The sequence below is a fragment of the Homo sapiens genome, chromosome 4 (assembly GCF_000001405.40).
Source record: "Homo sapiens chromosome 4, GRCh38.p14 Primary Assembly".
NCBI lineage: Eukaryota > Metazoa > Chordata > Mammalia > Primates > Hominidae > Homo > Homo sapiens.
In genome coordinates, this window is record NC_000004.12 from 94,642,394 (window position 1) to 94,656,557 (window position 14,164).

General features: G+C 35.7%; 1 protein-coding gene across 6 annotated transcripts in view; it reads left to right on the plus strand.

Annotated features, from left to right (window-relative positions):
- Positions 1-14,164, plus strand: part of PDLIM5 (PDZ and LIM domain 5) — a 216,282-nt gene that overhangs the window by 190,452 nt on the left and 11,666 nt on the right. For all 6 annotated transcript variants that reach the window (NM_006457.5, NM_001256426.2, NM_001256427.2 and 3 more), the window contains one exon: positions 12,067-12,247. In NM_006457.5, coding sequence (NP_006448.5) covers positions 12,067-12,247 — 181 coding nt within the window. The remainder of the gene's footprint in view (positions 1-12,066; positions 12,248-14,164) is intronic.

Sequence of the window (14,164 nt, forward strand, 5' to 3'; positions counted from 1 at the left end):
ACATTTCACCACCCCTACCTGCCTTGGTTTTAAATTTAATGCCAGGCCAGTATGCAATTTTAATGCACAGTCATCCTGCCGTGTAAAATAAATATGTATTATGCTAACATGAGTAGCCATCACTTATTGCTCCCTCATCTGTTAAATTTTATATTGTTCTGGATTATCCAGTACTTGTTATCAGTTAAGCATTAAAGCTTCATTTACTAAGGAAGTTAATAGGAATGGGGATTAGTTCATGTCAAGATCATGTAACAGTAATTAACATAGCACATTTGCCTGGTGCTCAAATGCTTAAGCAGCTTGAATCGATTGTGGTCAGTTCAGAGGCCTAGTCAAAGCATAATTCTAGTTCTTGGCCTCAGTGTCACTATTACTTAACCAAAGCAAGAAGACTTTAGATCAAGTGACATTCTCTTGGACACCTGTTTTAAAAACGAGCTGTAGTTTCAGGCTTGATACCTTCAATGCAGACTATTATACCCTAGCAAGCTTGGAGAAGTTTAAATTTATAATTTATATTGTGAGTTTTCTGTCATATAATTTATATTGTTTGTACCAATTTATATTGTTTTGTTTTATATTTACTTTTCAATATTTCGAATTTGCCAAAAACCATTTTTTATGTAAAGGCAAACTAAAGCACATTTTATGTTTTATTTTATTTTATTTATTTTTTTTTTTTCAGCAGAGTTGATTGTTTTAGAAAACCTCAGGAATCTGAATGTTAGAACTGAACTGGTTATCTCTTTATAGAGCACATTCAGTTTAAAATTCCGTAATCTTATTTGGATCTAAAGTTTAAAAATTTTTTGGTTTATTTGAATTGTGAAAAGTTTATGGATGTTTTGCCTAAATTGTATTATGGAGACATTACTTTGACTAGCTACGAATGAATAGGAAGTTACATTTTAGGAACTTCTGTTGAAGCTTTGATTAAGTTTGCTATGGGACATTTTCAGTCAAATTATGTTAGAAGCACCATTTATTTGACTCATACTTATGAATAGATTAACTGTTGGAGTGCTAGGATAATAGAGAATCATAGAAAATCAGGCAGTTGTAGCCAAAATCATATTTCAGTTTCCGTGGTAGAATGGGGTTTTGAACATTCTAGTTTATTTCTTAAGTGTTACATCTAGTGGCATTAAAATCTATTGACCATTTGTATTACATGGAGTTAACGGAACTATTTATGTTTAGCTTGACCTCTCTGTGAAAGAAATAAGGGGCTTATAGTGCTTGAATTTCTTCTTAAATATGGAATGCTTAAATAGCCACATTACTATTGTTTTGCCTTTGCCTACAGTACAGCACCAGAAAAACTATATACAGCCAATCCATTGTTTGTTCCAGTGAGAGAAAAAATTTTAACATTATTGATTTGTTTTTTGCTCAGTGATTTTCAAACCTCTCTCATAAGGAGCACCATCTCAGTTTACCAAGGAAAAACATGCATAATTTGTTGCCTGTTTTACCATTTATTTCAGTCTCTGAGCACCCCTTTATTTATAGGTTTTATTTATCATCCCCACTAATTAAGATTTTACTTGAAAATAAAAGGCCTCCTGGAAATGTATTATTAGCCCTTGTATTTAAGGAAACAACTAAAGACATTGACCAAGACTCATAAACAAGACAGAGACCAAGATTTCACTATTTACTGTTGTGAAAGATTAGAAAGAACATAAATGTGCAGCATCTATATAATGTAATTTTCAGATAATAGTTAAAGTTAAATGTGTTTTTAGCATATTCCAAATATTGCACCAAGAATTTTGCCTGAATTTTCATAACAACCCTGTGAGACAGTTGCTATGATTATTCCACTTCAAGGTTGAGAAAATTGAGGCATAGAGAAGTTACGTATTTGTTTGAAGTTGCATATGTAGTAGATAATGGAACCTGAATTTGAGTCCAGATTTGTCTAACTTTAATTTTTATTCATGCTTTTAACTACCACTACATAGGAAAATGTTTATAGTATCATATGAATATGGCAAAAATGAAATAAGGAACTCAAAAGTATGATTCCAATTTTATGTAAAGAAACTATACACCAAGATATATATTTAAGCCTGATAACAATAAAAATAGCTACTATATATTGAACTTGATTGGTATCATGCCAAGAACTTTTTTTTTTTTTTGAGATGGAATCTCCCTCTGTTGCCCAGGCTGGAGTGCAGTGGTGCGATCTCGGCTCACTGCAACCTCGGCTCACTGCAACCTCCACCTCCCAGGTTCAAGCAATTCTCCTGCCTCAGCCTCCCAAGTAGCCAGGACTACAGGCACCTGCCACCACGCCCAGCTAATTTTTTGTATTTTTAGTACAGATGGGATTTCACCATGTTAACCAGGATGGTCTTGATCTCCTGACCTCATGATCCACCTGCCTCGGCCTCCCAAAATGCTGGGATTAACAGGCGTAAGCCACCACACCCAGCCCATGCCAAGAACTTTATTAGTATTATTCTACTGGATTCCCAAAATAACTCCAGAGGATTGATATTATTCTTTTTTTTTTAATTTTTTATTTCCATAGGTTTTTGGGGAACAGGTAGTATTTGCTTACATGAGTAAGTTCTTTAGAGTTGATTTGTGAGATTTTGGTGCACCCATCACCAGAGCAGTATACTCTGAACCTAATTTGTAGTCTTTTATCCCTCACCCACTTCCCATCCTTTCCCCTTGAGTCCTGAAAGTCCATTGTGTCATTTTTATGCCTTTGCATCCTCATAGCTTAGCTCCTACTTATGAGTGAGAACATACGATGTTTGGTTTTCCATTCCTGAGTTACTTCACTTAGAATAGTAGTTTCTAGTTCCATCCAGGTTGCTGTGAATGCCATTAATTTATTCTTTCTATGGCTGAGTAGTATTCCATTGTGTATATATACCACAGTTTCTTTATCCATTGATTGATGGGCATTTGGGCTAGTTCCATATTTTTGCAGTTGTGAATTGTGCTGCTATAAACATGCATGTGCAAGTATCTTTTCCATACACTGACTTCTTTTCCTGTTAGTAGATATATTCTTATGCCTGTTTTACAGATGGAAATACAGAGGCTTAGATTAATTTGCCCAAAGTCACAAAGGTGGTTAAATAGTAGAGCCAGGGCTGGAACCCATCTGCTTGATTCTGAAATACATTCATTCATTCATTAAATATTTATTGAGGGTCCTATAATGAACCAGGCACTGTTTTATCCCACTGTTTTTAGGAATATAATAGTAAGCAATACATATAGCCAGTGTGCTTTAGAAAAAAGACCAAAAGAGAACTATACCCCAAAATTAAGAGTTATAATGTCCAGATAATAGATTGGATGTGATGTTTATTTTCTTCTCTCTCCGACTTCAGTCTTTCTAATTTATTGCACAAGAGTTTGTGTGTTTGTGATGAATGAATATACACACAATGATATCTATTACTGTATTACATCAGAAAAACACCCTCAGTAAACCTGCCATAACTGAAGACTATGGCAGTGTACTTTTATTCGTAGTGTTTGAATGAGAAAGAAGATAATAGATAATAAACAAGTTGAACAGTTAAATATTCTCATCTCCCCTCTAAAATTATTTTGTACAGCATATATGTATTCTTAAACTCATGTAGATTACTTGGGGCTCACTTTTCTAGTTTCTCATCTAATGCAGGAGTATAAGCAACATTCGTTGAGTATTTTGTGTGCCGCTGTCCTTAGATATCACTGGCACAGAAATCAAAGACATGCTCTTTTTTCTTAAGAAGGTTACTGTTGTGAACCGAATTGTGTCTTCCCAAAATTCATTTGCTGAAATCCCAAATTCCAGTACCTCAGAATGGGACTATATTTGAAGAGGGCATTTGGTCTTTAAAGAGGTAAAATGAGGTCAGTAGGGTGGGCCTTAATTAAATTTAACTGGTGTCATTATAAGAGGAAATTGAGACACTGACACATATTGAGGGAAGACCATGTGAAGACACATGGAGAAGATGGCCATCTATACACTAAGGGGAGAAGCCCTCTTGACATCTTGGTCTTGAACTTTAGCTTCCAGAACTGTGAGAAAATAAATTCTTGTTGTTGAAGCCACCCAGTCTGTGGTACTTTGCTAAGGCAGTCCTGGCAAACTAATTCAGTTTATAGTCTAATAAAAAATACAGACAAGCAAATCAACAACCAAATTAATATGGTAAGTCGAACAGAGATGCATCTAGGATTACATCAGTGCAAAAAGGAGAGGTAAGGATTATCCAACTTTAACAAACCAATTTATTTTATTTGAAAAGAATGGAAAGCAGTAAGGTTCAGAAGTCTATTCATAATCAAATGAATATTTTGTACAACAAATGTCCATTGAAAACTTCTATGCAAGTTACCATACTGGCACCATGGTATATATTTCTAGTCTACCCCGTGCTCACACCCGAATGATGGGTGTGACTGGAAGGAATCCCACAATCACACTAACCAGTCTCCTTTTAAATTCATCACTACTAATCTCAGGTATGTTCCTTCTTTTCCCTGGGTATATTCTTAATAGTAATGAAAGACTGCTGTTTCTCTAATATGTTTACTTTCCCACTTTCCCCAAAAAACCCATTTCACATCTTCTTTCTCCTCAAACTTCTAAAATCTCCTTTCCCATCCTCACTATTAGCTGATGACTTTGATTCCTCTTTCACTTTTTTATGTAGGAAAGGGAACAAAAAAGGCATACAACATAGAGAAAATAGATAGCAAAATGCCACTAATAAATCCTACTTTATCAGTAGGTTACATTAAACATAAATATATCACACACTCCAGCTAAAAGAGAGAGTGGAAGGGTAGATAAAATTATGATCTAACTATAAGTTGTCTACAAGAGACACAGTTTAAAATAAAAGATACAAATATGTTACAAGTAAAAGTATAGAAAAAAATATATTATGCAAATAGTAACCAAAAGAGAGTGAGAATGACTGTACTAATATCAGATAAAATCGATGTTAAGACAAAAAAAATTACTAGAGACAGAGTAGTACATTTTATAATGATAAAAAGCTCAATCCATTAAGAAAATGTGAGTTATAAACACATATTTACCTAACAGCATCAAAATAAGTGAAATAAAAACTGTCAGAATGGAAGGGAGTAATATATACAATTCAATAATAATAGTTGGAAACTTCAACACTCCATATTAATTAATAGATATAATTGATTACTGGTCAGAATAGCAAAAAGAACTAGAAAACTTGAACAACACTAAATACCAAGTATACTTCACCAGATATCTATAGAACATTCCACTCAGCAACAGCAGAATCCAGCAGAATATATATTCTTCTGAAGTGTATGTGGAACATTCTCCGGGATAGACCATATGTTAAGTCATAAAACGAGTTTCAATAAATTTAAAAGGACTGAGATCATACAAAGTATGCTCTCTGACCAGAATGGAATGAAATTAGAAATCAATAACAGAAGAAAATTTGGGAAATTCACAAATATGTAGAAATTAAAAAACACATTCCTTAAACAACCAGTGGGTCAGAAAAGAAATCACAAGGGAAACTAGAAAATACTTTGAGCTGAATGAAAATGAAAATGTAATATACCAAAACTTATTGAATGCAGCTAAAGCAGTGCTTAGATGGAAATTGATAGCTGGCAAATGTCTGCATTCAGAAGGAAGAATCATCTCAAATCAGTAACATTGCCTTCTACCTTAAGACTCTAGAAAAAGATCAAACTAAGTCCAAAACTTAGAAGGAAGGCAAGAACAAAGATTACAGCAGAAATGAATGAAATCGAGAATTTAAAAAAAATCAATGAAACCACAAGTTGGTTCCTTGGAAAGATCAACAAAATTGACAAACATTGGCTAAACTACCAAGAAAAAAAAAAAGAAGACTCAAATTACTAAAAATGACACTAAGGTGTCTCACAGGTTTTTGTTTTTTGTTTTGAGACTGAGTCTCACTCTGTTGCCCAGGCTGGAATGCAGTGGCAGGATCTCAGCTCACTGCAGCCTCCACCTCCCAGGTTCAAGGGATTCTCCTGCCTTGGCCTCCTGAATAGCTGAGGCCACAGGCCTGCACCACCATGCTCGGCTAATTTTTGTATTTTTAGTAGAGACAGTCTGGCCTCGAACTCCTGGCCTCAAGTGATCCGCCCGTCTCGGCCTCCCAAAATGCTGGGATTATAGGCGTGAGCCACCGCACCCGGCCAGTGTCCCACAGTTTCTGTGTCATGAGTCTATGGGTTAGCTGAGTACCCTGCTCAGAATCGCACCAGGCTGAAATCATGGTGTCAGCTGAGCTGAAGTTATCATGTAGAGATCCAGATCTTCTTCCAAGCCCACGCAGGTTGTTGGGCAAATTCAGTTCCTTGCAGCTCTGGGACTGACGTCCTTATAGGCCGTCCCCACCTTAGACAGTTCACAACATGATTGCTTTCTTCCTCAGGGCCAGCAGTAGAGCCTCTCCTGTTGCTTTTTAACTTCTTTTAAGGGTTTACCTGATTAGGTCAGGCCCATCCAGGATGATCTGTCTTTTGATTAACAGTATCCACTGATTAGGGGATGTAATTGTTTTTTTTTGATTTTGGTTTTGGTTTTTTTTTGAGACAGAGTCTCACTCTGTTGCTGACGCTGGAGTGCAGTGGCGCAATCTTGGTTCACTGCAACCTCCGCCTCCTGGGTTCAAGCGATTCCCCTGCCTCAGCCTCCCGAATAGCTAAGACCACGGGCACGTGCCACCATGCCCAGCTAATTTTTGTATTTTTAGTAAAGACGAGGTTTTATCATGTTGGCCAGGCTGGTCTCGAACTCCTGGCCTCAAGTGATCCGCCCGTCTCAGCCTCCCAAAGTGCTGGGATTACAGGCGTGAGCCACCATGCCTGGCCTAGGGGATGTAATTGTATCTGCACAATCCTTTTTGCTATTTACAGTTATCTAATCACAGGAGTGATACCCTGTCATGGCCACAGGTTCTACCCACACTCATGGAGAGGGTCTTTACTCAAATATCAGAGTGTTCCTGGTCACCTATTTAAATTCTCCCATTTCATCCCTACTTCCTACCTATACCATCTTCCTCTCTGCCCTCCCTGCTTAATTTTTCTTGTCAGCCTTTAATATCTAACATGCCATATATTTTATTTATCTTACTGTCATCTCCCTGCCCTATGTTAGCATATAAGTTCCATGCAATCAGGGCTTTTTTTGGCTTTGTTCCCTGCCAGATTTCCTGTTTCTAGAACAGTGCCTAGCACATATTGCATTTAGTAAAGTCTTGCTCAATTGATAGATGAACTTTTAAATATTTGTAGAATGTATATTAGTGTTGCCAAATTGAAATTATATCTCACTTGTCTTATTATTGAATTACATTTATCCTGCTTTGCAGATTTTATAATAATCTCAAAAAGAATTGACTGTAGTTGTCTCCAGTAGACTTTTAAAAAATTGTCAATTAAGGTTACCTTCTTTAGAACTTGTTCTCTTTATTTACTATTATGTTTAAACTCATTTTACCTGTGCATTTATTTTGGAGAAGCAAGTCATTTATGCCTTTCAGATATAAAACTATAGGTGGCCTCACAACCCTTTAAATGTAGTATGTTAAAGGACTGAAAGTTAAAGTTGACATTCAGCGAAAGAATTACTTTTTAATGTTCCAAATTGGAAAGTTTGCATATAATCCACTGGAAATGAAGAATTAAGAGTGACAAATACAGTGTTTCCAAATTTTAGGAAGGATTGTTAATGTCTGCAGTTTTGAGTATTCTAAGACGATAGTCACTGTGTTTCTCTTTTACTCTCTTCCTGCTTGTGTCTTTGTGTGTAATCGTTTGTGAATGTATTTATGTGCAGTTTCTCCTGATTATCTTGTTCCTATTTCACTCTATTCCTGTGGCTGTGTTGTTCTTTTGCCCTTTGCTCACGCCAGGCCCTTCCTCAATGTTGGCAAATACAAAAACATAAAAGTGGTTTGTACATTTGTATTAGTATATTTAACTAAGTAGAATATCAGATTCTGTTTTTATTCTTGAGCACGTCAGTTTTTTTATAGCTTTGGGAAACTTGTTTTTTACTTCTATTGATACAGTAATTTTCAGTCGAATAAAATCTGTTGTGGTTGGGCTTTGAAAAATTCCAGTATTACAGTTAGTTCGTCATCCATATGATCTTAGGAAAGTTGGCTGATTTCTCTGACGTTTTCTTCATCTACACGTATATGAAAAAGTTAATTTCTGTCATTGGGATTATTGTGAGAATTAAATAACAAAGAGCAGCAAAAAATAAGCATCAGATTTTGAGGCTAAATCCCAGTTAGGTTGTGCCTGTTGAAATCTGAGTTCCTTTCACCTTTGTATTTGTAAGCTTTCCTTTTTCTCTGAACTCTTCCTTGGCATCCTTCCCTACCTTTCCTTTCTTCCCCCCACATGCCCCGCCTTTTTGGATAGGTCTCACAGAAGATAAACAGGGTGAAAAGTTTCATGCCGTAGCTCTTCTCTCACAGCCAACCAAATGCTTTAAATCCCTCCTCTCCCTCCATTTGTCAGTCAACATGTACTTAGTAAGGGCTCACAGGACATCGAATACTAGAAGAGATAGCTGAATACTTAATTCCACTCTGCAGTTATCTAGGCCTGTCATTCCTGTTCACAAATGGAAACCCAATCCTACCTGGAACAAGAAGAACTTCTTTAGTGTTAATCCTGTGTTAATGAATTTGTTAAATTAGTCTTTGCTGACACAGAGAAGAAAACACTTTGCTATATGTGAAAGATTAATTTTATTGTTTAATCTGTGCATAATTTCAAGGGCATTGATGGAGAAAGATGCTCTTTCAGGACAGCCAAGAAGTATCAAGTTAGGCCAGTAGTTGCCCTGAGCATGCTTGTTTAAGAAAGGAGATCTGAGAGGAGCAAGGGTCATTTTCAGCTTGTTTTTTAAAGGTGCAGTGGGAATTTCTTTACTGTCTAAAATTCCTTTTGCTATTTGAAAGGAACTAATGAAATATTTTAAAGTCATCCTTTTAATGGACTGTAGTTTTAATTTATGTATTTATAGTGAACTATATTCCAGCAAGTTTGTAAAAAGACTTTTACAGGTATGTGAAATATAAGATAATCTTATAAATTACAAAAGGGGAAAAAGAATGAAATTCATCGATAGGCTCGTTAAAAATGAAGCTAACGTCGAGACTGGACGATACTAAAATAATGACCTGCCCACTTGCCTCTGGTTAGACTGTAAATCTGGCTTTAGGCCTTCTAGTAGTCTACCAAAAATGAAAGGTAGTTTTGCAATTTACAATAAGATAAAAATAAGACTACTGCTGAGGAAAAGCATAATAGTTCTTGCTGCAGAAATCAGGGAGGAATTTTTCTGAATGAGACCATGTGAAAGTGACGCTGGATGAGATCTAACAACACTCCAGCAACAACTTGCAGGAAGAGCAAGGGTGAATTTCATAGAGCTGTGTCCTGTAACAACTACCAGTACAGGTTCATGTATCACAACAAGCACCGTTCATAAAAGGAATAATCCTGCGGGGTGCAGCAGGCCCAATATGCTGTGATTCACAGAACCCAGTTTTCTGATGATCTGACTTGAACTCAATACATATTTTAGAAAATCTGGCAAATGGAATGTATTTTCCTTGGTCAGTTATTCTTAAATGTCTTTTTTTCTTCTCAGATGAACTTTGTCAAATATTTGATAGCATTGATAGACATGTTCCAGGAGCAGAGCTTTTCATTTTGTTCCAGGTACATACCAACACTTATGCTTTAACAGAATGCAGTTTGAAGTTGGATTGACTTCTTTGAAAACTGAGAAGCCAAATAAGAATACTAGCCTCAAGAGTCCTCCAGCCTTATGGATGAGCTAAAGATGTGCCCTAGTAAAAAACTCACCCTAGTAAATGGCTTTGAATCTGTTTTAATGTGCAGCCAGAGAGTAGCATGAAACCCCAAAGCTCTACCATGCTCTGTGTTATGGTCACAGTAAATTGAGCCTGGAAGATTTTTCATGCGTGTATAACCAGTTGCCCACCTGGCGGAAAAACACAGGGCACTCATCAAACTTTGTCTGGCTTTGAGCAGTGTGATTCCTGGTTTATCTTTGCTGATAAACTACTTGCCAAACATACACTGAGAAAATTAGATGAAGGAACTCGTTGAATAGGATTGTTATTTTATAAGTCAGTTGAAAATGATGGACCACTTACCAAAAGTAATATATTCGATTACAGAATAGGTGATCTGTAGCCTTTCTTTTCTGGCAGGAATTAGTAAACAAAGGCATTCCTTATTAGTCATAACAAAATTATGGTACCCTAAAGTTTTAAAAATAATAATAATAAACTGCCTATCTCAAACTTAAGAGAATGATATGTACTAGCTTATACAAAATGGCATCATGTTATTAATAAGAAACAAGTTAACAAAAAGTAGGGCTAGAAAATACCCTCTTACACCCCACGTAAAAATTTTTAATCACTCATCAAGAGCCTTTCTCCTTTTGTGACTCTTGCAGAATTAGGTGCTGATTCTGAGTAAACATCAATATGGTGACAAAGAATTTACAGTGGGAGATAGTTATTGAATAGCAAGGTTTATGTTATTGTCAGAATTTTAAAAATGCTGTGACTTTGCGATACTCATTGCTATGACTTCTCCTGTTAATAATCTGCCTGGAAGTCTGGTGTCTGATGCTTACCAACAATTACCATGTGGTCGCTTAGGGATGATAAGTGATGTTAATGAGGTCAAAGGCAGAATATCAGTTGACTAGAGCGGCATACTAGAAATCAGGAAATTCAACTTCTGGCCTTGGCTGGGTCAGTGATTTTATGATATTTGTCATATCTTTTGAACATTCTGTACCTTGGCTTCTCCATCTGTTAAACTGAATTCATAATAACTGTCCTGGTCTGTCTCACAGGAATGTTGCATGGACAAATTAGATAAGTGTAAAAGTGCCTTGGAGGTAAAGCTGCTCTATGAATATAAATTAGTGTGATATAGCTACTGAAAAGTATGTTGCAGAGGCTAGAATGGTTAGTCTCTGCAGGCTTCATGACTAGATAAGGCTTCATAATGGATTCCTGCCAAGCAAACCAAGCCCATCTTATCAGTTCATGACCATAAAGTATTTAATGGGGAAAAAAATCTCTTACAAACATTTGTTACCTTGATACAAATGTGTGTTAAAAATCGGTCATGTTGGGGAGGGGGGAGAGGGAAGTTGGTGCACAGTGGGTATAAAATTTCAGTTATACAAGATGAATAAGTTCTAGAGATCTGCTGTACAACATTGTGCCCATAATTAACAATACTACATTGTACTCTTAAAAATCTGTTAAGAGAGTGGATCTCATTTTAAGGGTTCTTACCACAATAAAATTAAATTTTTGAAATAAATCAGTCATATTTGAGTGAAATGAAACCTTTCTGAGTAGTTTCAGACAATTGATAATACCTAGTTTACAGTTCCTGTAGTCATTTTGGAGGGTGAGGACTTGATGTGTTTAGTAAAGTTGAGAAATAAATACATGAAAGAATGTGTGGGGAAGAGAAATTGTGGGGAAGAGAAATTGTCTCAGGTAATAGTTATTACTATTTTTAGCACTATGACTTACCAAATTGAAGTTTTTGTTTGTTTCTTTTGTAGAAGTGTCAAAGTCTCATCTCTGCCTAAACCATATATTTTTTTCTGGTTGCCTCATGTTCTGTCACAGTCACAGTTAACATCCTCATTCTCAATCCTACCCATGATGCAGACAGATTGCCTCATTTCAGCTCAATAAAACATCACCAAATTCCCTTAGGCAGAAAAAGGGTGGGGAGTGCCCTTTCTTGAAGGAATCCCTTAAGTGCACGTCTCCCGTTTTCTTTTCACATCAATGCAGAGTCCCTCTGTGAATTTACAACACCCAACACCCATGAGTTCAGTCCTTAAGAAGGAAAATTGAGCAAGTATTTAATTGGTTGGACATTGCATAAAAGAGGTCCATATCCAGGCTAACTCTAGAAATTTTATTCTCAAACTTAGTTGGCCTCTTTTTCTTCTGTCAGAGGACCATTCTTAGTGGCACTGGGGAAATCTTGGCACCCAGAAGAATTCAACTGCGCTCACTGCAAAAATACAATGGCCTACATTGGATTTGTAGAGGAGAAAGGAGCCCTGTATTGTGAGCTGTGCTATGAGAAATTCTTTGCCCCTGAATGTGGTCGATGCCAAAGGAAGATCCTTGGAGTAAGTATTGGAAACGTTTTTATTCTGAATGAGTTTTAAAGTAGAATAATTTTTTGATATGAAAGTCTTCTATCACTTTAACTTTTTATTTTCTTCTTGCTTTATGCCCTCTCTGCTTTCGGCACTATTTATTATTGTAAAGCAAAACTAAATAGACCTCTGTGGAAATATATCGGACTCATGGGGTTAGGTTGTCTTTGGTTTTGTCTCACTGAGTGCTGGCTTGTCTGGTGAAAGTCTAGCCACTGTGGGGAAAAAATAATTTACTGTGGGTGTGCTTCCTCAACAGGAGCCTGTTTGCTCAGGAATGAAGAGGTCGCATAGGACCACACACATCTGAGTTCTTAGAACTGACACCTTCACTGTTTTAAATTAAATTCCATAGCTTTTATAAGAGCAGTATTTCCCTACTTGTCAGAGTTCAAGCACAGGACACTGATTTCATGAAATATATAAAACATGAGGTTTATAAATGATATATTTTTCTTGAATACATACAGTGTTTAAAAATATAACCTCAGTTTTATGAGAGTGCACATGTGATGGAAAAATAATTTTTTTTCCTTTTTTGCAAAAAAAGGAGTAATTTAGGAATCAGATACAGTACATAATAAATAATGAATACATGAATTTCTTGCTCTGGAATACCTAGTTTCCAATGATAAAGTAAGGGTCAGGCATACTTTATGGTGACTAGGAGCTGGAATCTGATTTCAGAAGAAGCCAGAGTACCTGGCTTCACACAAAAATTGGACATGGCCCTGCTGAACTCTAATATACTCTCAATGTGAAAATATGATAATGAAACTCTAATTATTGTTAATTGAGAGAATAGGTAGTATGAATTATTGAGTAGTCTTAAGATATCTCTTAGGATATCCTTAAATATGTCTGAAACGTTGAAGACACTTAAAATTATATATATGTCACCTGAAATATTTCTAGATTATTGATTTGTGTAATATGTTGGGAACAAAGAAGTGGAATGGTTCAGACTGTACCTTCCCAAATGATAACAAATAATTAATAGAATATTCATTAATACTGTTTTAGTGTATCAAGGTATTCTATAAATGTTAGAATAACAAAACAAAGTGAAGTTAGAGTCTTAGACCCAAATAAAGTTCTGGGAAATGGAAATCTCATACTCATTGCCTTGGAGATGGGCCAGAACTTCAATAGCTTGTCTAGATTGTATTTTAGTTATTTGATTACCTGTTAAAGATTTCTCTCAAGGATGGAAAGGGAAGAATATTCTGGAAGCCTTGGGAGATAGTTTGATTCAATATACATCTTCTACAAATGTTCATGGTGAATTTTTTGGATCTAAATGTCTGTTTCTTCCCATTGTCCTTCAGTAGTGAACTGTGACAATTTCTATGGCTAATAAGTCTATATTATTTCATTTTATTTTGATATTTTTTATAAAAGAAAATAGTTCACTCAAGCACAATTAGAAAACACAAAAAATTTAAAGAATAAATTTAAATGACCTAAATATTTACCAATCACAGATAATTACTGTTAACCTTATGATGTGTTTTTTTCTAGTTTGCTCTTTATAAGTAATGTGTTTACAAAATTGTAATCATGCTTTATGTATATGATTTTTTGTGATAAATATTATAGAAAGAGTATTCACTACTCATCCAAAATTATTTTAATGGCTCCATCTTTCTCTCAATCCAAAGAAATGATTTCTTGTAAAACCAACACCCAAAACCTCTTTTACTAACTAATATCTGGCCCAAATCTTTATAACTTGGTATGTTTAACCATTGGGCCATTGCTGACTAGAATATGGTCCAAATTTTACACATTCGAGTCTGTGCTTAGTGCCATCTTAGCTGATTTCCAAAAGCCTAAACACGTGTTAAACTGATTGGATTACATTATATTTTTATTATATTTTATTAC